A 19,837-nucleotide genomic window follows, 5' to 3' on the forward strand; every position below is an offset into this window, starting at 1 on the left:
CCCATCAGCATCACTGAGTCACAGCCGGGTGACTCCCACTGTCTGTGCTGCAGGGGGCCTGCCGGAGCTGCCCGTGGGCCCAGCACTGCCCAAGGCCTACGGCACAGGCTTTGTGGGCTGCTTGCGGGACGTGGTGGTGGGCCGGCACCCGCTGCACCTGCTGGAGGACGCCGTCACCAAGCCAGAGCTGCGGCCCTGCCCCACCCCATGAGCTGGCACCAGAGCCCCGCGCCCGCTGTAATTATTTTCTATTTTTGTAAACTTGTTGCTTTTTGATATGATTTTCTTGCCTGAGTGTTGGCCGGAGGGACTGCTGGCCCGGCCTCCCTTCCGTCCAGGCAGCCGTGCTGCAGACAGACCTAGTGCCGAGGGATGGACAGGCGAGGTGGCAGCGTGGAGGGCTCGGCGTGGATGGCAGCCTCAGGACACACACCCCTGCCTCAAGGTGCTGAGCCCCCGCCTTGCACTGCGCCTGCCCCACGGTGTCCCCGCCGGGAAGCAGCCCCGGCTCCTGAATCACCCTCGCTCCGTCAGGCGGGACTCGTGTCCCAGAGAGGAAGGGGCTGCTGAGGTCTGATGGGGCCCTTCCTCCGGGTGACCCCACAGGGCCTTTCCAAGCCCCCATTTGAGCTGCTCCTTCCTGTGTGTGCTCTGGGCCCTGCCTCGGCCTCCTGCGCCAATACTGTGACTTCCAAACAATGTTACTGCTGGGCACAGCTCTGCGTTGCTCCCGTGCTGCCTGCGCCAGCCCCAGGCTGCTGAGGAGCAGAGGCCAGACCAGGGCCGATCTGGGTGTCCTGACCCTCAGCTGGCCCTGCCCAGCCACCCTGGACGTGACCGTATCCCTCTGCCACACCCCAGGCCCTGCGAGGGGCTATCGAGAGGAGCTCACTGTGGGATGGGGTTGACCTCTGCCGCCTGCCTGGGTATCTGGGCCTGGCCATGGCTGTGTTCTTCATGTGTTGATTTTATTTGACCCCTGGAGTGGTGGGTCTCATCTTTCCCATCTCGCCTGAGAGCGGCTGAGGGCTGCCTCACTGCAAATCCTCCCCACAGCGTCAGTGAAAGTCGTCCTTGTCTCAGAATGACCAGGGGCCAGCCAGTGTCTGACCAAGGTCAAGGGGCAGGTGCAGAGGTGGCAGGGATGGCTCCGAAGCCAGAAATGCCTTAAACTGCAACGTCCCGTCCCTTCCCCACCCCCATCCCATCCCCACCCCCAGCCCCAGCCCAGTCCTCCTAGGAGCAGGACCCGATGAAGCGGGCGGCGGTGGGGCTGGGTGCCGTGTTACTAACTCTAGTATGTTTCTGTGTCAATCGCTGTGAAATAAAGTCTGAAAACTTTAAAAGCATTGCTTTTGTCCATCCTCACCAGCGCGCTGGCCCGTTGGCTTCTTGCTCCGCTTTGTGGTGGGAGCACGGACTTGGAGCTCCCTTGGGTGGCCCTGGATGGAGCCAGGCCCTGCACAGGGATCCTTGTGGCTGATGAGGCCCTGAGTGGGGAGCACACACTGCTGAGCACTGTGGGAGGCGGGGCCGTGGAGGCAGGAGGCTCTCTGGCGTGCACGTGTGGGTGCGTGTACGTGTGGGGGTGTGTGTGTGTGGGTGCGGGTACGTGTGGGTGCATGTGCCTGCTCTCTGGCGTGCACGTGTGGGTGCGGGTACGTGTGGGTGCGGGTACGTGTGGGTGCATGTGCGTGTGGGTGCGTGTGCCTGCTCTCTGGCGTGCACGTGTGGGTACGTGTGGGTGTGGGTGCGTGTGCCTGCTCTCCGGCGTGCATGTATGGGTGCATGTACGTGTGTGTGGGTGCGTGTGCCTGCTCTCCGGCGTGTATGTGTGGGTGCGTGTGCGTGTGGGTGCGTGTGCTTGCTCTCCGGCGTGCATGTGTGGGTGCATGTACGTGTGTGGGTGCGTGTGCCTGCTCTCCGGCGTGTATGTGTGGGTGTGTGTGCCTGCTCTCTGGCGTGCACGTGTGTGTGTGTGTGTGTGTGCCTGCACACATAATTGGCCCACATCTGTGTCAGAGCACAGGGTTGGGAGGAGGCTGCACCCAGGACTGGAAGGGTCTGGGGGGAGCCAGGGTGCGTGGGGCTGTTGGGCAGCCTTTTCACTGGCCCAGGTGTGCAGAACCAACCCTTGGCACTGCTGGAAGCCCCTAACTAGAAACCCCTGGGGTAGCTGGGCTCCTGGACTCCCTCTAACCTGCTTCCTAAATTAGTGTGTGGGTGACAGCACTGCAGAAGCTGAGCCTCAGGGAAGGGCGCGGTGGCTCACACCTGTCATCCCAGCACTTTGGGAGGCTGAGGCTGGAGGATCGCTTGAGGCCAAGAGTGGGAGATCAGCTTGGGCAACATAGTGAGACCCCATCTCTGCAAAAAAATTTCTTTAATTAGCCAGGCGTGGTGGTACACACCTGTAGCTCCAGCTACTCCGGAGGCTGAGGCAGGAGGATCACTTGAATCCAGGAGGTTGAGGCAGCAGCAAGCTGTGATTGCACCACTGCACTCCAGCCTGGGTGACAGAGCGAGAACCTGTCTAAAAAACAGAGCTGGCACCCAGCACCGGCAGATGTGAGCCCTGGGGAGAAGCAGGGGAAGAAGGGGTAGGGTGTGTGGCCAGCTGGGTGGCCCTTCGCAAACTGCTGTCTCTTATGAAAAATAACTAAGTGTAGTTTTCTATTTTGTATTAATGATTTTAAAAAAAAAGCCAGGTGCGCTGGCTCACACCTGTAATCCTAGCACTTTGGGAGGCCGAGGCGGGTGGATCACCTGAGGTCAGGAGTTCAAGACGAGCCTGGCCAACATGGTGAAACCCTGTCTCTCCTAAAATACAAAAACTGGCTGGGCATGATGGTGGGTGCCTGTAGTCCCAGCTACTCCGGAGGCTGAGACGGGAGAATTGCTTGAACCCAGGAGACGGTGGTTGCAGTGAGCCGAGATCACGCCATTGCACTCCAGCCTCAGTGGCTGAAGGAGACTCCGTCTCAAAAAAAAAAAGAAAAAAGAAAACCACAAAAACATCGAAATAAAATAACACCAATGGCTGGGCACATTGGCTCATGCCTATAATCCCAGCACTTTGGGAGGCTGAGGCAGGCGGATCACCTGAGGTCAGGAGTTCAACACCAGACTGGCCAACATGGTGAAACCCTGTATCTACTAAAAACACAAACATCTGGGCGTGGTGGCAGGTATCTGTAATCCCAGTTACTCGGGAGGCTGAGGCACGAGAATCGCTTGAACCCGGGAGGCGGAGGTTGCAGTGAGCCGCGATTGCACCACTGCACTCCAGCGTGGGCGACAGAGCGCGACTCCGTTTCAAAAAAAAAATGAAAAGATAATACCCACAAGCTCCACACCCAGGAGGTCCCATGCGTCTGAGTGTTTGCTTTCTGGGCTTTTCATCACCTGGTCCTCTGGGGATATGCTGACCGACCCTGTGTGCCTGGCAGGTGTCAGGCACTGGGGGTCGGGGAGGAGAGAGTCCAGGAGCGGTGGCCACACACAGGTCGCTGACGGTGGGGGGCCAGGGTGGGGGCAGACTAACTTTGGTTTTCAGGAAAGGTCCAGAGAAAACACGCCCAAACCCAGACCCGAAGCATGAGCAGGGGGAGGGCAGGTGAGGAGGCCAGAGGCGGGGCATGTGGTGTGGGTCCATTGGACGGTGTGCAGGGCCCTGTGGCTTGACAAAGGGATCTTTCAGCAGGAAGCGGAGGCGTAGGAGCGGCCAGAGGCCAGCGTGCAGGACAGAGGCCACAGGTCAGAGCAGCAGAGGCTGGACAGAGATGGGCAGGGCAGGTCCAGTGGGGCTGCGTGGGCCTGGGGAAGAGAGCTGGGGGTGCTGCCTGAGGAGCTGTGGGAGGCTCCTGGAGGGCTCCAAGCAGGAGGCCACCAGATTTCATGAAGACGCCCCTGGCTAGGACAGGGTGCTAGGCTGCAGGGGGAGCAGAGGGAGGGATTTGGGGGAGAATGGGCGGGTCGAGGGGGGTGAGAAGAGGCGCTCAGGGACGTGGAGATGGAGCTGGAGGCACCGGAGCTTTGGGTGGATTCGCCCTGATGCGTCTGGAGGGATGGCTGGGCTGGGGAAGCTGGGGTTCCCTGAGTGGGGTCCAGGGGGCCGAGGGGTGCCAGGCAGGGAGAGGCTGGGCTGAAGCCTGAGGCAGGTGCTCCTGCTGGGTGTTGCCTAGGAGAGGAGAAAAAGCCCCGACGCCAGAAATGGAGGAGGGAGGAGGACCTCGGAGGGGAGGAGGAGGGTGCGCAGAACCAGGAGAGGCAGTTTGGGGAGCAACCGCTGCGGAGCGCGCAGGACCCAGAGGACTCAAAGGGGACCTGGAGGGTGACGAGGCCTTCCGTGGCCGGGGGTGAGGAGGAGGGAAGCCGCGCGGGCGGAGAGGCGCTGGTGGGTCCCAGGTTGGAGGCTGTGGGTCTGAGAGGCGAAGCCCAGGGGAGCCCGGGGCCACCGCTGAAAAGGATGGCAGCTGAGCGCAGGCGAGGGAGAGGCGCGCGTGTCCGGGACAGACCGCGGTGGGAGCTCGACTCCGGAAACCGGCGGGCCTGGGGCTGGGACCTACAGGGAGGCGGACGCGGCACAGCCAGGGAGGTCGGTCCCGCGGGCCCCGCCCCGCCCCCCAGCCTGGAGCGCCCCCCTCCGGCCCCGGTCCGCAGTGGAGGCGGCCCCGGAAAAGCCAGAGGGTCTTGGAATGGAGGGCGGGACGGAGCCGCCTGCAACGCCCGCGACCCGCGACCCGGCTGCCCGCGGGACCCCCGGCTCTGAAGCGGGGACGGCCGGAGCTTCCGCCTGCAGCCCAAACTCCCAGGCGCCCGGCAAGAGTGGCGGGCGCGGACCCTTTAAGAAGGCCGGGGGGCGTGGCCTCGGGGCGTGGCCCGGGGCGTGGCATCGGGGCGAGGCTTCGGGGGCGGAGCCCAGGCAGCGCCTTCGCGGAGTTGCCGGAGGGTGCGGCCGCCCAGAGCGCACCCCGAGCGCCGGCGAGCGGCGCGGTGAGACCCTCGTGCAGGTGAGCCCGGCGCACGGCGGCCCAGAATCCTGGACCCCAGGAGAAGCGTCTACGGCCCCGACAGGTGGGCGTGGCGAAATGCCACCCGGGCCCTCCTCGCGCTCCCAGCTGGGTCACGCCTCAGACCCGGGGTCCTGGACGCCTGCCCCCCTCCACCCGCAGGCCCTGCCAGGACACTTTGGTCCCTGGCCCGCCAGGCCTGGCCTCACTCAGGCTTGGCTGTGGGGTCAGAGTCGGGCAGAACGGAACCAACAGTCCTGGCAGGCCCAGGCGGTTGGAGGAGAAGTGGTCGGCTCTGGACACCTTTGTTGTTTTTTGTTTTTTGTTTTTGAGATGGCGTCTCACTGTGTCACCCAGGCTGGAGTGCACTGGCGCGGTCTTGGCTCACTGCAACCTCCACCTCCCGGGTTTATGCAATTCTCCTGCCTCAGCCTCCGGAGTAGCTGGGATTACAGGTGTATGCCACCATGCCTGGCTAATTTTTGTATTTTTAGTAGAGACGGAGTTTCACCATGTTGGCCAGGATGGTCTTCAACTTCTAACTTCGTGATCCACGCTGCTGGGATTACAGGTGTGAGCCACCGCGTGTGGCCTCTGGGCACCTTTTGAAGGTAGGATGAGAGGAACTCATGGATCGGAGCCGGCAGGGAGCGCCGAGGGGGGCCGGGGGCAGGGCGGCCACCCTTGCCTGTGTGGGGAAGATGAAGAAGAGGGTGTGGGCCGCGGGGGCAAGATCAGGAGCTTTGGGTTTTGAAGATGTTAGGAAAGACGTGCTGCTGACTTTGCAAACGGAGGTGCTGAAACCGGGTGTCTGGAGCTCAGAGAAGAGGTGGCGCTGGACTGGCCTAGACTCTGTGCAGACACAGAAGAGCCAGGGCCTGGGGCTCCCATCGAGGAGGAGGACAAAGGGCCCTGGCCAGGGCAAGGTGGGAAGCCGGGAAGTGCAGCCTCCACAGAGCCTCGCAGAGAAGGCGCCACTGGAAGAAGGCGGCACTGACGGCCTCGGAGGCTGCTGAGGACCGGCTGGGCCCCGACGTCCGTGGCAACCCTGACAGCCAAGTCCTCCGTGGGCTTGGAGGGCGGGACACGGCTCTGGAGATGAGGGAGAGGACGGGCCGTGCCGACCGGCACCGCGGTGTTCCTGAGCAGTGGCACCGTGGCTGTTGCTGAATTTTATTATTGTTAATTAATTTATTTATTTTTATTTTTGATACTGAGTTTTTCTCTTGTTGCCCAGGCTGGAGTGCAGTGGCGAGATCTCGGCTCACCGCAACCTCCGCCTCCCGGGTTCAAGCGATTCTCCTGCCTCAGCCTCCCGTGTAGCTGGGATTACAGGTGCCCATGACCACACCCGGATAATTTTGTATTTTTAGTAGAGACGGGGTTTCACCATGTTGGTCAGGCTGGTCTCAAACTCCTGACCTCAGGTGATGCGCCTGCCTCAGCCTCCCAAAGTGCTGGGATTTCAGGCATGAGCCATCGCACCCGGCCATGAATTTTAATTCATTCCTATTTACAAATCACACAGCCATACAAACTTCTTCCAGAAGTTGTGCTCAGAGGGGAGCAGAGGGGCAGGAGCTGCAAGGAGTGGAGGCAGGGCCCGAAGGAGGAGGAGGAGCTGGGGCCCCGGGAGAGGGACCTGGCCAGGGTGGGCTGGAGCCGGGGATGGGGTCCCCAGGGGGACCAGCCAGGACCTGTGGGTGCTGCAGAGGAGGGGAGATCTTGGCTCCATTCTCAGGGGTGAAAGCCTGTGGAGGCCTTTATTTTTTATTTCTTCTTAAGTGAGATGAGGTCTGGCTATGTTGCCCAGGCTGGTCTTGAACTCCTGGGCTCAAGCAATCCACCCGCCTCCTGAGTAATTGGGATTATAGGCATGAGCCTGGTCATGGAGGCCTTTAACAGAGACTGCGGTGAGGCCTCCATTCTAGAAAGAGCCCTGCAGCTGCCCTTTGTGGGGCAGAGGGGGCAGGACCGCCCTCAACCTTCCTCCTCCTCTGGACCAGCCATGGGGGCCGGAGCAAGGTCTGCCCAGGGCACAGCAACCCCCACCCATTCGTGCACAGGTTATGATTCCACTGACAACCAGGCCGGGCCAGCGTGGGGCGGAGGTCCTAGAGCCAGCAGGCCCCACCTGGGTATCATCTATGCAGCCAGGAGATGCCCAAGAGCCAGGTGTCCAGAAGCCGCCCCTGTGTGGACAGCACAGCTGGGGAAGACAGAGGGCTGGGGGAGCCCCACGTCCTCAGTTCCTTCCTCTGCCGCCTCCCTCCCTCCCTCCCTTGTCCCCGTTCCCTCCGTCCCTCTCCCCCTTCCTTCCCTCCCTCCCTCACCACCATTCCCTCCCTCCCACATCCCCTTCCCTCCCCTCTTCCTTCCCTCCCTCTCACACCCCTTCCCTCCCTCCCTCCCTCCCTCCCTCAGTCACTCACGGGTGTGGCTCTTTTTTGCTGACATTCTGGGCTCTGGGGCTGCCGCCTGAGTACAATGTAGTCCTGAGCTCCGGAGTCCAGTGCCACAAAAGTAAGGAGCAGTTGTGATCTCGGACGTGGGCTCCGGGGCAGCCCTGACCTCATGGGGGGCTGCAGACTAGGAAGGTCCTGGGACGGGGGGGCTGTTCACCAGGAAGGGGCAGGGCTGCAGCCTCAGCCTCCCCTCCAGATGCCGGCAGCACCAGCCTCTGCCTGCATGGGGCCGCGAGGTTTGCAGTGACATCCCCCGAGCTTCCTGACCTGCCCCGGACACGGAGCACGGCTCCCAGGGGCCGCACAGGCACCCGCTGGCCTCTCGGCCCCTCCCTGTGCACCACCCCCTCCTCCCCCCGACCCCCATCCCTCTACTGAGTGTCTCAATTCCAGTGTTATGGACCTGGGACGCCACAGTGCGGGGAACAGCTTCTGCCCTCTGGGAGATAAGAACCCGTCGTCAGGCAGCTGGGCTGCTGAAACAGTGACCATAAGCTGGGCGGGCAGGCGCTCCTTCCCTCAGCTCTGGAGGCTGGAAGTCCGAGATCCTGGCCGTGGAGGCTGGGAGGGGTGGAGTGGACGGGGCTGCTGACAGCCTCGGGGGCGTGTGGAGAAGGAGGGAGCCCCAGTGGCCCCAGGCCCTGCCACTTGGGGGAGAATTCCAGCCCCTCTGTGTCCCTGGGACCCCACAGCCCCTGGCCAGTGGCCATTCCCGGCTTCGAGCACAGTGGCCTCAAGCCACCATCGTGGGTGTTACCGTGGAAACAATGAGGGAGGTTTGTGTGGGGCCAGATTCCTCCTCTGGGCACTGACCTGCTCTCCCCACTCCAGGTGGTTTCACCCCAACATCAGCAGGGTGGAGGCGGAGAAGCTGTTCCTATCCAGAGGTCAGCGTGGGGACTTCCTTGCCAGGCCCAGTGAGAGCAGCCCGGGGGGCTTCACGCTGTCCGTCAGGTGGGTGGGCCCTGGCTGGGCATGGACAGGGTCTGGTTGAAGGCCTCCTGGAGGACCGGTGGGCAGCTTCCTGGACACGAGGACTTGGTGCGGGGGGCCGATGCCCTGGGAAGGTGGTGAGAGTTGGACGTGGTGCTGGGCGGTCTCTGGGCAGGAAGGAACTATTTAGAGAGGCCCTTGGGGAGGGCTCATTGAGTCAGGGGCTCAGCAGGACCCTTTCCTCCCCTGTGAGGGCCCTGGGGACAGGCAGGGCCTCCGTGGCTGCGACCGTGTTGCCAGAGCCTGGGGGTGCAGCTGGGGAGTGCAGCGGGGTTCCCATTGAGCTCTGGTACCCGCTGGGCTGCCAGGACCCCGCGTTGGAGTGGTGAGCCCTGGCCCAGCATCCGCGTGTCAGCACACGTGTGTACGTGTGCATGTGTGTGTTCGCGTGTCCATGTGTGTTCATGTGTGTGCGTGTGCATGTGTGTGTGTGTGTGTGTGCGTGTGCCTGCATCCTGAGGGACGGCGTCTGCTAAGCACTGGTTCAGGGCACAGGGTCCTGCACCTGCCTCCCTCAGGCCTCCTTCCTTCAGGTCTCAGGCACTGGAGTCCAGGGTGACTCAGGGAAGCCGGTGCCTCCCCTGGCCCCATCCCTGCCCTCCTGGCTGGTACCCTGGGCTGAGCTGGTTCCTCCAGCCTCAGTTTCCCCACTGCAGCGGGCTGCATCTGCAGAGAAGGAGACCTGGTCTGGGGAGGCCCCTGGCCCCTCCTTGCTGAGGACCAGGCCGCCACCTGGTGGCCGCCCGCCCCTGCAGCGCCCGCCTGCCTCCTGCCGGCTCCTGGGTGGGGCGAGGGCCAGAAAGGCGAGCAGAGCAGCTCTGGGGCCCGGGTGGTGGTGCTGCCTGGACCCCCAAGGTCTGCGTATGTCTCGCTAAGCCTTCTGCCCTATCCGTGTGGGTCTCTCCCCCTCACCTGGCCAGGCCGTGGCCTCCAGCCTCACCTGTGCTCGCCTGTGCCTGGCCCAGGTGGTACCACGGGCGCCTGTCTGGCAAGGAGGCTGAGAAGCTGCTGCTGCAGAAGGGGCATCCGGGCAGCTTCCTGGTGCACATGAGTCAGAGCGATCCTGGGGGCTTCCCGCTGTCAGCGCTGACGCAAGGGTGGGACGAGGCGCAGGGCTCAGGCCGCCAGCCACAGGTCACGCACATCATGACTCACTCCCAGGTGGGAGGGGGCGGCGAGCTGGGGCGGCCTCTGGGAAGGGCGGGCGGCCTTGGCCAGGCCCCTCACCGCCACCCCCACGGCCGGATGAGAAGTGGGAGACGGGGAGCGTTTTGACACCCTCGGAGACCCGGTGTAGCAGGAAGAGCCCATTGATGGGGAAGGTGGGGGCGGTTGTGCACCTCAAGCAGGTAAAAGCCCCTCCACAGGCACCAGGGCCGTGGGCACAGCCTCACCCAGGAAAGCAGCTGGGGGTCCACTGGGCTCAGGGAAGACCCCCTGCCAGGGAGACCCCAGGCGCCTGAATGGCCACGGGAAGGAAAACCTACCAGCCCCTCCGTGTGTCCTCCTGGCACATGGCGACCTCCATGACCCGACGAGGGTGCGGGGCCCGGGGCAGGGTGGCCAGGTGCGGGGGTGCGGGGCCCGGGGCAGCTGCCCTCGGTGGGAGGGGTGTGGTGTGGTCTGCGGGGCCCTGGGGGGGTGTGGTGGGGTCTGCGGGGCCCTGGGGGGGTGTGGTGTGGTCTGCGGGGCCCTGGGGGGGTGTGGTGGGGTCTGCGGGGCCCTGGGGGGGTGTGGTGGGGTCTGCGGGGCCCTGGGGGGGTGTGGTGGGGTCTGCGGGGCCCTGGGGGGGTGTGGTGTGGTCTGCGGGGCCCTGGGGGGGTGTGGTGGGGTCTGCGGGGCCCTGGGGGGGTGTGGTGTGGTCTGCGGGGCCCTGGGGGGGTGTGGTGGGGTCTGCGGGGCCCTGGGGGGGTGTGGTGGGGTCTGCGGGGCCCTGGGGGGGGTGGGGTCTGCGGGGCCCTGGGGGTGTTGTGGTGGGGTCTGCGGGGCCCTGGGGGGGTGTGGTGGGGTCTGCGGTGCCCTCGGGGGGTGTGGTGGGGTCTGCGGGGCCCTGGGGGGGTGTGGTGGGGTCTGGGGGGCCCTAAGCTTAGATGCAGGTCTCTCCCTGGCAGCCCCTCAAGGCCACGAGGATCAGTGCTCGGAGCCTGGAGGGCTGTGTGCAGGAGTAGCAGGGCCACTGATGCCAGCGGGAAGGCCAGGCAGGGCTTCTGGGTGGAGTTCAAGGTGCATCCTGACCGCTGTCACCTTCAGACTCTGTCCCCTGGGGCTGGGGCAAGTGCCCGATGGGAGCGCAGGGTCTGGGACTGTAGGGTCCAGCCCTACGGAGCTTAGCAGGTGTTCTCCCCGTGTGTGGAGATGAGAGATTGTAATAAATAAAGACACAAGACAAAGAGATAAAGAGAAAACAGCTGGGCCCCGGGGACCACTACCACAAAGACACGGAGACCGGTAGTGGCCCTGAACGGCTGGGCTCGCTGATATTTATTGCATACAAGACAAGGGGGCAGGATAAGGAGGGTCAGTCTTCTAAGTGATTGACAAGGTGAAGCAAGTCACGTGATCACAGGACAGCGGGCCCTTCCCTCTTAGGTAGCTGAAGCAGAGAGAGAAGGCGGCAGGCATCAGCGTTTTCTTCTATGAACTTATAAGATCAAAGACTTTAAGACTTTCACTATTTCTTCTACCGCTATCTACTACGAACTTCAAAGAGGAACCAGGAGTACGGAAGGAGCATGAAAGTGGACAAGGAACGTGACCATTGAAGCACCACAGGGAGGGGTTCAGGCCTCCGGATGACTGCAGGCAGGCCTGGGTAACATCCAGCCTCCCACAAGAAGCTGGTGGAGCAGAGCGTTCCCTGACTCCTCCAAGGAAAGGAGACTCCCTTTCCCGGTCTGCTCAGTAACGGGTGCCTTCCCAGACACTGGCGTTACCGCTTGACCAAGGGGCCCTCAAGCGGCCCTTATGCGGGCATGACAGAAGGCTCCCCTCTTGCCTTCTATTCACTTCTCACAATGTCCCTTCAGCACCTGACCCTATACCTGCCGGTTATTCCTAGGTTATATTATTAATGCAACAGAGTAATATTAAAAGCTAATGATTAATAATGTTTATAATAATGATGGATAATTGTTCATGATCATCGCTGTATCTAATTTGTATTATGACTATTCTTATTCTATTTTCTTTATTATACTGAAACAGTTTGTGCCTTCAGTCTCTTGCCTCGGCACCTAGGTACTCTTCCGCCCACACGGGACGGGCTGGGGGTGGCCATCTCGGGCTCTGGGAAGGGGCCGGGGCTGTGAGCTGAAGGCTCCATCACCTCCAGATGCTGCAGCAGCAGGAATGCCGGTTCCTGTACCCTCGGAAGGAGGGGCAGAGTGTGGAGAACAAGCCCAAGAATCACTACAAGAACATCCTTCCCTGTGAGGGCGGAGGCCAGGGCGTCACCCGTCGGGCCTGGGGGAGGTGGGGGGCAGGCCGAGCATCTGCCACCGCTGACCTGAGGCTCCCCCTTGCATACCCTGGACCCTCCATCTCTGCTCACCACAGGGTCTGCGGGCAAAGAGGCAGGGTGAGGCCCACGAGCTGTGCCCTGGAGAACTGAGCGGCACCTCCCTTCCCAGTTGATGCTACCCTTGAGTCATCCTGCTCAACGAGGATGACAGCGGGCCCGGAGCCGACTACATCAGGGTGGGTGTGTGCGGGAGGCGGGGCCTGGGCCCATTGCTCCTGGGGGGCTCAGGAAGAACCAGGGTCCCCAAGGGAGGGGTGGGCGGCAGTCTCCAAGGGGTCCTCAGAGAGGCTGGACGGGCATTGGTCCTCAGCCCCTTGCTGGCCTGGAGTGAGGAGTGTGTTTAAGCCACCAGGGCTCTTTGCATAATATTTGTGTGTCGTTTGCATATCATTTGCATAGCATTTGCATGGACTTGTTTGTCCTCTGTTAACAGCAGCAGTTGGCCTCATTCCCTTTCAGACTGACCCTGAGGAGGAGCCGGGCCATGGCAGGGGCAGGGTGGACATCCCTTGTGGCCCTGCCCCGCCGCACCTGCACCTGCACAGCCCGCGTGGGCCCGCCCCGCCGCAGCTGAAGTGCACCACCATGGGCCCGGCCCGCGGCTCGCGGCTCGCGGCTCTGGGCCCGGTTCACCTCGTCCCGGAAGCCGAGGACGCCGGCGGGATCGGTCCGGACGCCGTAGTCCGGCCAGCCGAAGTACTGGAAGTGCTGCACCGTACGCTGTGGCTCCTCCCCGCGGGGCAGGGCCTCGCGGGCGCAGGGTGTACATCGCCTGCAGGGCTGTCTGCAGGCCTGTCTGCAGGCCACGGTGGCTGCTTTCTGGGCCACGGTGCACCAGGAGAACACGCGTGTCATCGTCATGACCACCAGGGAGATGGAGCGGGGCCGGGTAGGGGTGCGGTGCCAGTGCTCCCAGTGCCCATCCCACCCCGTGCATCTTCGGCTGCCCAAGGCCCTTCCCGACCAGGCCAAGGAGGCTGTGGGACGCCGTGGGAGTGGGGAGGCTCCCACAGAGCCCCGTGGCTGCACGTACACACCTGCGTCTCTGCAGGTCGCAGGGGCGGGGTGCCGAGGTGCTGCCAGCAAGGCTGATGCAAAGCGCTCCCCTCGGAACAAGTGTTTCCGGGACTGGCCAGAGCTGCCCGGCAGCCAAGAGTTCGGCCGTGTGCACATGCGCGTCCTCGGCAAGGGCCAGGCCCAGGGCTACTGCGTGCGGGAGCTGCAGGTGTGGCGGCCGGGCCAGGTGAGCCTGGCGGCTGTGGAGCGTGCCTGCTGTCGGCCTGCACTGGGAGACCCCACACCTGCCTGCATCCAACCCCACTGCCTTTGGGGGCTTCCACACCCCTCAACCCAGGAGGTGCATTCCAAGCCTGGACAGGGGTCACTGACGTGGCCACATTCTCAGCCCTGGGCTGGCGGCCGCTCCTCCCACACACCTCTCCAACTGCAGCTTTGGTCTCCGTTGTATACCAGAGACGCCCATTTCTGCTCCGGGCAGATTACCTCGTGTTCCCTCCAGCCCCCGCCCAGTGTGTGTGGGGGGGTCCTCCAGGACCCCATGGACCCCTCACATTTGGTTTTTCCTTATAAAATAACTGTCCTCACAGCCTGCTTCGCCCGCCCCCAGCTCCCTCTTCCCTTCCCCAGGCACCTGAGCCACCTGGGGCCATCTCGGCGCCCCCTCCCCATTTCCTTCCTCCTCCTCCTGCTCGCCTTGGCTCCCGCAGCCCCTCCGCTTGGGCACTCCCGGAAACCCAGCTGTGCCTCAGCCTCCTCCTCCCACCCTGGGGTCACACTCACCGCTTGCCCCGCTCAGGAGGAGCCACAGCGTACGGTGCAGCACTTCCAGTACTTCGGCTGGCCGGACTACGGCGTCCGGGCCGATCCCGCCGGCGTCCTCGGCTTCCGGGACGAGGTGAACCGGGCCCAGAGCAGCAAGCCGCGGGCCGGGCCCATGGTGGTGCACTTCAGCTGCGGCGGGGCGGGCCCACGCGGGCTGTGCAGATGCAGGTGCGGCGGGGCGGGGCCACGCGGGCTGTGCAGGTGCAGGTGCGGCGGGGCGGGGCCACGCGGGACGACGAGGGCGGAGCCATCGGGTGGGCGGGGGCGCCCCCGCCCCCGCCCCCCACTCTCGTCAAAGGCCGCCTAGTTTGTCCTCAGTGGGGGCATCGGATGCACGGGCACCATCATCGTGATTGACATCCTGGTGGACGTCATCCGCAGGCAGGGCGAGCCGCTCCACTCTGGGTCCCCCCGCCCTGCCCTGCTATAGCCCCACCCCTCCGGGCGACCCCACCCCTCCGGACGACCCCACCCCTCAGGACGACCCCACCCCTCAGGACGACCCCACCGCTACCGGCAAGCCCCGCCCCTCATCAGCAGCCCCGCCCCTGCCTGCCGGCACCTTCCCCCCATCCGTAGCCCCTCCCCAAGCGCGCTTGTCCGCAGGGCTGGACTGCGACACCGACGTCCCGAAGACGATCCAGCTGGTTTGGCGGCAGCACTGGGGAATGGTGCAGACGGAGGCTCCGTACAAGTTCACGTACCTGGCGCTGCAGCGGCACATCCGGGGCGAGTAACTGCGCCTGCGCGAGCAGGTGGGGGCGTGGCCCTGCGGGGCGTGGCCTGTGCGGGCGTCGCCATGGTGACCGGCGGCCCCTCCCCCCAGCGCGAGCCGCCTCAGGAGCGCGAGAACCAAAACGTGGGCGCCGCCCCCCGCTAATCGGGTTGCAGCCCCCGGCTCCCCGGGCATCCCCGGTGTGAGTGGAGCGCCGGGGCCGGTCCGGAGTCCTCTGGGAGGGACTGGGACGTGCGGGGTGCAGGGCTGAGCCGCTGCTCCGCGCGCAGAACCCCGCAGCCCTGGGACGGCGAGGACGCGAACCTGCGGAGCCGCGGGTGTCTGAGGAGCCGCAGGGAACCCCCGGCCTAGCCGCGCCCGCGTGTGGCCGGAGCTGCGGGCCGGGACTGTGTCCAGGACAGAGCCACAAGCTTGTCCCCAGCTCAGGGAGGTCCAGGGGCGGCAGAGGGAGCGACAGGCTGCGAAGCCCACCGGTGACCACGTGTGAACCCGCGTGCGCCCCCAGCTCGGCCACTCCGTGCGGGTCTGCCCTCACCGCAGCTCCGGCCTGCCGGCCCTGCCTGCTCCCGTGGTCTGGGATGTGGCCCCGGTGAGGACCCGGCCCCATCAGGCACAGGGTGGATGTCTGTGGAGTGAGGTGTGTGTGACATATTCATGTGACCACCCGTGCAGCGTCACGCGCCTGGCCCTGCCGATGACAAGGGTGTGGGCCTGCGTGGGCATGACTGTGTGTGTGACACAGAGTGATGTTGCTGTGACCCGTGGCTGCACTCCCCACATCACCGGCTTTCACAGCCTTCCGGTAAAGTGCTGTGTTCTCCCTTCTGTGTCTTCGCTGGGACCTGGGGCAAGGGTGGGTGTGGCCCCCACAGCTGGAGTCAGCTTCTGTGGGGCCTTCCCGAGCCCTCCCCACCCTGGACCAGAGGCCCAGCTGGTTGGAGCAGGAAGTACCTGGGCTCTGGGGTCAGGGATGGGAAGGCTGAGGAGGCCTGCGTGAGCTGGACCTGGCCTGGGCCCTCCTGGCCGTGCCTGCCTGGTGGTGCAGGATTCCTGGGGCTGATGACAGACGGGGTAGGGCTGGGGTTGGCGAGCCTCCTGCCGATACCTCACGTAGCTGACCTCTGACTCTTCCCCAGCCAGGCTGGCCCTGGGAGTTGCCGGAGAGTCAGTGGATCTGCAGGCTGCACGCTGGCTGTTACCTTTGCTTCTGGGTTCCCACAGGGGTCATGGTTCTGTGGTTCTCCAGTCAGGGACCCTAGCAGGGCCATGGGGCGTGACTTCCTGGAGGTGTGGCCTAGTATGGCCACGGCAGAGGATGGGGGAAGAGAAAGGCCCCCTTTGTCAGCCCCCGGGCTCTGAACCAAGCTGAAGCCCTCCCCCTGGTCCAGCCTGCCCTGCCCCAAGTGTCCTGGGCCTCTCCCCATCTCCCTGGGGAGCCTCACATTGCTGAGTCGCCAGCCAACTCCAGAAACCCCCAGCCTGTCTGCAGCCAGAGGGGCTGGGAGTTGGACCCCCTAGAACCTTGGGCCCACCTGTCCCAGTGGCTGCTGGGAGTCTAATTCTGTCAGGGTATCCTCTGGGTTGAGGCTGCAGCAGGGGCACCCAGGGTGAGGCCCTCTTGCCAAAGATGGATACAAATAATTTATTTTAAAAGGTACAATTCACAAGGTTGGAGGGGTAGCTGGAAGTTTCTGTGGTTACCTTGCACTGGGGGGCTGCCCTGCCTCCACTCTCTCCCCACAGTCCGAGGGCAAGATGAGCACCCCCACCCAATGGCAGGACCAGCCCTGCGGGGAAATGTCAGCATGAGTGGAAGCACGGCAAGGCCCCTTCCTTCTTGGCAAGGGGCTTCCCTGGCAGGCAGTTCACAGGGTGTGTGGGTGGGGGGGATGCTGACCAGCTGCTCTCCTGGACCCTTCCTGTACGAGCCTGTTTTTTTTTGTTTTGTTTTGAGACAGGGTCTCCCTCTGTCGCCCAGGCTGGATGCAGTGGTGCAATCTTGGCTCACTGCCACCTCCACCTCCCCGGTTCAAGCAGTTCTCCTGCCTCAGCCTCCCCAGTAGCTAAGAGGCACCCACCACGATGCCCGGTTAATTTTTGTATTTTTAGTAGAGATGGGGTTTCACCATGTTGGCCAGGCTGGTGTCAAAATCCCGACCTCAAGTGGTCTTTCTGCCTCAGCCCTCCAGAGTGCTGAGATGACAGGCGTGAGCCACCGCGCCCGGTGAGACTGTGGTTCTTGGAGGCTTTGGGGATCCTCTTGTCCACCCCGTCAGGACCCAGCCTGGAGAATGAGGGGTGGACAAGCTAAATGGAGCCTGGTCTTGGTGGGGCCCCGGTGGAGTCCTCAGAGATGCCAGGCTCCTTTCGCGTCCTCGGGGACCGACTTCCAGTGGCTGCTGTGCCCTTGGGCCCCCCAGTGGGGGACGCCCCATGGAGCTGGGCGAGGGCGGCTGACCTGGGCAGAGGCTGCTGGCCCTAATTATCAGTCAGAGGCCCGAGGGGGGAGGCGGCTGTGCTGGTGGCCGGGGGCCGGGGGGGCAGGGGCAGGCAGCGCAGGTTCCCGGTCTTGAGCGCGCACTGCACCGGCCAGAGTGCCACACAGAAGAGCATCAGCAGCAGGGCAGAGACCAGTGCCATGCGCCTCCAGTCCCTGCAGCGCGCCCAGCAGCGGGCCAGGCGGCCCCGGCGGGGGGCAGGGTCCCGGGCGGGCGCGGGCGGCTCGGCAGGCTTGCTCAAACCCACGTCCACGCATACGAAACCGGGCTCGCGGCCAGGTGTGGTGGGCAGTGGCTGGCAGCACAGCTTGGTGCCCTCCAGCCACACAGGCTCCTCACGCCGCAAATGCGCCGGCATCCGGGCCTGCAGCTGGCGGCTGGTGCACAGCGCGGGGGCTCCGGCGGGCGGCACGGCCGTGGGCTGCCTGCAGAAGGGGCAAGGTACAGCCTCACCACCGGGGCGGCCCACAGGCTGAGCAGCCGCCAGCCGGGCCAGGCACTCCAGGCAGAAGACGTGGGTGCAGGAGAGCTCCTTGGGTGTCTTGAAGATGTTGTCATAGCCTGAGAAACAGATGGAGCACTCCAGGGGGGAGGCCACCCTCTCCGAGCCAGGGGTGCCAGGGGACCTGGGGCTGCCGGCCGAGCTGGGGGACCTGGGCATCGAGGCTATGGAGCTGCTCCGGCGAGGGGGTGGCACAGCCGTGTGCCACACCTGCTGGCCTGACGACATGTCTCTGAGCTGTGGGACAGGGACTGTGGTAAGCAATCACCGGCCGCCCCTTTCTGGTGGTGTTTTATCTCTCCCTCCCCTCTCTCGCCCCAGAGATCCCAGGGAAGGACTCTGTTTCCTGCGCGCCACTCCAGAAAGTTCCTCCGGTGCCCCTGGAGGTCATTCTGCCCCACGTGCAATCCTGTCCTCTCCACCCCATCACATGGCTGCACCGGGGTGAGCCTCCCACAGGGCCCCAGGCCTGCTCCGGGAATGCAGGCCGTGTGTAGGGGGGTCTCACTGACCGCTCGGCAGACACCTCCTGTTGGCCCTGCCCCACCTGGCTGGCCCTGCTGCCCGGGCAGAAATAATGGTGAGGATGACAATAGCCACAGTCGTCACTGTTTATGTCGGAGCTCTGCAAGGCTGGGCCCACATCACGGGACTCACACAACGCCACAGTGTGGAAAAGGCCGCCCAGAGCATGGGTGACTCGGCCAGGGCCACCCCAAGGGAGCTGGCGGGCCCTGGACCCTGGCAGATACGGCTCTCAGGCAGGCCAGGGACTCCAAGTCAAGTGAAGTGAGTTTGAACTCAGATCCCAGGATGGGTGCCTGGCTTGGGCGGTGCAGGCCTGATTTGTAGGCAGCTATGTGAGGGTGGGGTGTGGGGGTCTCTGGGTCTGGGGACCGGGCTGAGCCCCGGGGGCTTTGGGACGACAGGGAGGGCCCAGGCAGGGGCAGGGGTCAGTGCCCGAGGAAGGTGCACGTCAGGCACGACCTGCGGCCTGCGGGGCCGGCTTGTCTAGCTGCTGAGGGTCTGATGTGCACAGTGTGGGGGTGGGACTTGGATAAGCCCAGCCATTCCCTCTGGGCCAGCCCACTGCCTCATGGTCAGGTGATGGTCAGGGCACCCTCAGCCGCCCACTGAGTGGGTGTTTCTTCTCCCTGACCCAATCCCACTTCATGGCAGGGACCCTGGGGGACGGACACTGGGGGATGCTGCTCTGCCCCTGGGCATGGCTCAGGTGGGCATCTCAGCTGACCTGGGACCCTGCTCCACCTCCCGCCCCTCCCCTGCACCCAGGATCCGCTGCAGGGAGCCACAGGGGTCCCACCTGGAGGGAAGTGGGCAAGGGTGACAGTGAGACTCAAGGGCCTGGCCGTGCGTCCCCGTGGGGCCCAGGAGGCTGCCCCAGAAGTGACTCCTGGCACTGCCCCGCCCCACCCCTGACTTGCCAGTGAGTCCCAGACAGGCTGGCGGGATGACACAGGTCACTGTGACCACCTGAGTCACACGCCGTCACTGTGAGGCCGTGAGTGCCCCAGGCACCGGGACCTGGGGACTGTGCTCTGCGGCCTGTGTACCCCACAGAACCGGTTCCTTGGCACGAGGCCCCACCCCTCCACGATGGTGCCCCACCCTGAGCCTGTGCAGGTAAGGGGTGAACACGGGCTGAGCTGGCCTTACCTGGTGGCCGGGGGTCAGCGGGCCTGGGCGTGGTCCTCCTCGCCGGCCACGGTTGGGCTCCAAGGCCCTGGGCTGCCCTGCCGTGGCAGTGTCTGCTTCCTCTTCTCCGGGCCCGGCCCGGCCTGTGCTTCACCCAGCAGGTATCCCTCCCCGGGGCCGGCCACCAGCAGCTGTCCCGGTGGCACTGGTCTGGCAGGTGTGGCTTCTGCTCTGTCCAAGACAGGCGGGGACACAAGGAATGCGTGCGCCGTCACCCGCACAGAGCTCTGGTCTGAGGCAGGTGTGAGTTGCTGGGTGTGGGCTCCCAAGCAGGTCTATTTATACCCTATGGGCCAAGGGTGTGGCCGCAAGCCTCAGGGATTGGCTGGCTTCATCCTCTCCTTGGCGGGCCAGGCAGCTGGAGGGCAGGGAGGGAGGGGTGAGGGTCGGAGCCGGGTAGGGGTCAGCACAGCCGCTGCAGCCTGGGCAGGTCTGGGCTGGGGTGTGTGCTTGGACAAAGCCCTCTCTCCCTATAGCCCCAGGAGGCTGGAGCACCTGCTGGAAGCTGCTCACCGCAGTTCCAGGTCCCTGTGGCCCCTGAGCTCCTGGGTGG

General features: G+C 64.4%; 2 protein-coding genes and 2 long non-coding RNA genes across 12 annotated transcripts in view, besides 16 other annotated features; 2 read left to right on the top strand and 2 right to left on the bottom strand.

Annotated features, from left to right (window-relative positions):
• Positions 1–1,346, top strand: part of AGRN (agrin) — a 35,997-nt gene extending 34,651 nt beyond the window's left edge. For 6 of the 8 annotated variants that reach the window (NM_001305275.2, XM_005244749.4, NM_198576.4 and 3 more), the window contains one exon: positions 54–1,346. In NM_001305275.2, the coding sequence (NP_001292204.1) occupies positions 54–211 (158 nt within the window). In that variant the 3' untranslated portion in view covers positions 212–1,346. The remainder of the gene's footprint in view (positions 1–53) is intronic. The other 2 variants (XM_011541429.3, XM_047419836.1) reach the window with 1 other exon arrangement.
• Positions 3,955–4,798: an enhancer, noted in NCBI's record as "H3K27ac-H3K4me1 hESC enhancer chr1:994105-994948 (GRCh37/hg19 assembly coordinates)". NCBI's record gives its function as "activates a minimal SCP1, AML or CMV promoter by ChIP-STARR-seq in primed H9 embryonic stem cells {active_cell/tissue: H9 hESC(primed)}" and the evidence as "EXISTENCE:reporter gene assay evidence [ECO:0000049][PMID:30033119]".
• Positions 3,955–5,181: a biological region, named in NCBI's record as "H3K27ac-H3K4me1 hESC enhancer GRCh37_chr1:994105-994948".
• Positions 4,542–5,181: a silencer, noted in NCBI's record as "silent region_25". NCBI's record gives its function as "represses an Ori minimal core promoter by ATAC-STARR-seq in GM12878 lymphoblastoid cells {active_cell/tissue: GM12878}" and the evidence as "EXISTENCE:reporter gene assay evidence [ECO:0000049][PMID:35858748]".
• LOC100288175 (uncharacterized) lies at positions 4,964–11,683 on the top strand. The gene is made up of 4 exons (NR_148960.1): positions 4,964–5,076; positions 5,510–5,623; positions 8,309–8,431; positions 11,060–11,683. It is a non-coding gene; the product is annotated as an uncharacterized LOC100288175 (long non-coding RNA).
• Positions 5,644–6,487: an enhancer, noted in NCBI's record as "H3K4me1 hESC enhancer chr1:995794-996637 (GRCh37/hg19 assembly coordinates)". NCBI's record gives its function as "activates a minimal SCP1, AML or CMV promoter by ChIP-STARR-seq in naive H9 embryonic stem cells {active_cell/tissue: H9 hESC(naive)}" and the evidence as "EXISTENCE:reporter gene assay evidence [ECO:0000049][PMID:30033119]".
• Positions 7,130–7,630: an enhancer, noted in NCBI's record as "H3K4me1 hESC enhancer chr1:997280-997780 (GRCh37/hg19 assembly coordinates)". NCBI's record gives its function as "activates a minimal SCP1, AML or CMV promoter by ChIP-STARR-seq in naive H9 embryonic stem cells {active_cell/tissue: H9 hESC(naive)}" and the evidence as "EXISTENCE:reporter gene assay evidence [ECO:0000049][PMID:30033119]".
• Positions 9,110–9,279: a silencer, noted in NCBI's record as "silent region_26". NCBI's record gives its function as "represses an Ori minimal core promoter by ATAC-STARR-seq in GM12878 lymphoblastoid cells {active_cell/tissue: GM12878}" and the evidence as "EXISTENCE:reporter gene assay evidence [ECO:0000049][PMID:35858748]".
• Positions 9,370–9,729: an enhancer, noted in NCBI's record as "active region_11". NCBI's record gives its function as "activates an Ori minimal core promoter by ATAC-STARR-seq in GM12878 lymphoblastoid cells {active_cell/tissue: GM12878}" and the evidence as "EXISTENCE:reporter gene assay evidence [ECO:0000049][PMID:35858748]".
• Positions 10,206–10,706: an enhancer, noted in NCBI's record as "H3K4me1 hESC enhancer chr1:1000356-1000856 (GRCh37/hg19 assembly coordinates)". NCBI's record gives its function as "activates a minimal SCP1, AML or CMV promoter by ChIP-STARR-seq in naive H9 embryonic stem cells {active_cell/tissue: H9 hESC(naive)}" and the evidence as "EXISTENCE:reporter gene assay evidence [ECO:0000049][PMID:30033119]".
• Positions 10,707–11,207: an enhancer, noted in NCBI's record as "H3K4me1 hESC enhancer chr1:1000857-1001357 (GRCh37/hg19 assembly coordinates)". NCBI's record gives its function as "activates a minimal SCP1, AML or CMV promoter by ChIP-STARR-seq in naive H9 embryonic stem cells {active_cell/tissue: H9 hESC(naive)}" and the evidence as "EXISTENCE:reporter gene assay evidence [ECO:0000049][PMID:30033119]".
• LOC105378948 (uncharacterized) lies at positions 10,865–14,567 on the bottom strand. 2 transcript variants are annotated; one of them, NR_168433.1, is made up of 5 exons: positions 13,791–14,567; positions 13,028–13,270; positions 11,976–12,028; positions 11,696–11,828; positions 10,865–11,063 (listed from the first exon to the last, which is right to left on the bottom strand). It is a non-coding gene; the product is annotated as an uncharacterized LOC105378948 (long non-coding RNA). The 2 variants fall into 2 exon arrangements; NR_168432.1 differs by lacking the exons at positions 11,696–11,828; positions 11,976–12,028; positions 13,028–13,270.
• Positions 13,944–14,133: a silencer, noted in NCBI's record as "silent region_27". NCBI's record gives its function as "represses an Ori minimal core promoter by ATAC-STARR-seq in GM12878 lymphoblastoid cells {active_cell/tissue: GM12878}" and the evidence as "EXISTENCE:reporter gene assay evidence [ECO:0000049][PMID:35858748]".
• Positions 14,294–14,363: a silencer, noted in NCBI's record as "silent region_28". NCBI's record gives its function as "represses an Ori minimal core promoter by ATAC-STARR-seq in GM12878 lymphoblastoid cells {active_cell/tissue: GM12878}" and the evidence as "EXISTENCE:reporter gene assay evidence [ECO:0000049][PMID:35858748]".
• Positions 14,442–14,556: an enhancer, noted in NCBI's record as "conserved acetylation island sequence 30". NCBI's record gives its function as "activates a minimal heat-shock promoter by reporter assays in Jurkat T cells {active_cell/tissue: Jurkat}" and the evidence as "EXISTENCE:reporter gene assay evidence [ECO:0000049][PMID:17135569]".
• Positions 14,442–15,293: a biological region, named in NCBI's record as "H3K27ac-H3K4me1 hESC enhancer GRCh37_chr1:1004678-1005443".
• Positions 14,484–14,883: a silencer, noted in NCBI's record as "silent region_29". NCBI's record gives its function as "represses an Ori minimal core promoter by ATAC-STARR-seq in GM12878 lymphoblastoid cells {active_cell/tissue: GM12878}" and the evidence as "EXISTENCE:reporter gene assay evidence [ECO:0000049][PMID:35858748]".
• Positions 14,528–15,293: an enhancer, noted in NCBI's record as "H3K27ac-H3K4me1 hESC enhancer chr1:1004678-1005443 (GRCh37/hg19 assembly coordinates)". NCBI's record gives its function as "activates a minimal SCP1, AML or CMV promoter by ChIP-STARR-seq in naive H9 embryonic stem cells {active_cell/tissue: H9 hESC(naive)}" and the evidence as "EXISTENCE:reporter gene assay evidence [ECO:0000049][PMID:30033119]".
• Positions 16,197–19,536, bottom strand: RNF223 (ring finger protein 223). Its single transcript, NM_001205252.2, has 2 exons — positions 19,246–19,536; positions 16,197–17,805 (listed from the first exon to the last, which is right to left on the bottom strand). Exon 2 carries the CDS (start codon positions 17,794–17,796, stop codon positions 17,047–17,049), a length of 750 nt encoding a protein of 249 aa, NP_001192181.1. The 5' UTR covers positions 17,797–17,805; positions 19,246–19,536; the 3' UTR covers positions 16,197–17,046.
• Positions 19,229–19,728: an enhancer, noted in NCBI's record as "H3K4me1 hESC enhancer chr1:1009379-1009878 (GRCh37/hg19 assembly coordinates)". NCBI's record gives its function as "activates a minimal SCP1, AML or CMV promoter by ChIP-STARR-seq in naive H9 embryonic stem cells {active_cell/tissue: H9 hESC(naive)}" and the evidence as "EXISTENCE:reporter gene assay evidence [ECO:0000049][PMID:30033119]".

Source organism: Homo sapiens, chromosome 1, assembly GCF_000001405.40.
Source record: "Homo sapiens chromosome 1, GRCh38.p14 Primary Assembly".
Taxonomy (NCBI): domain Eukaryota; kingdom Metazoa; phylum Chordata; class Mammalia; order Primates; family Hominidae; genus Homo; species Homo sapiens.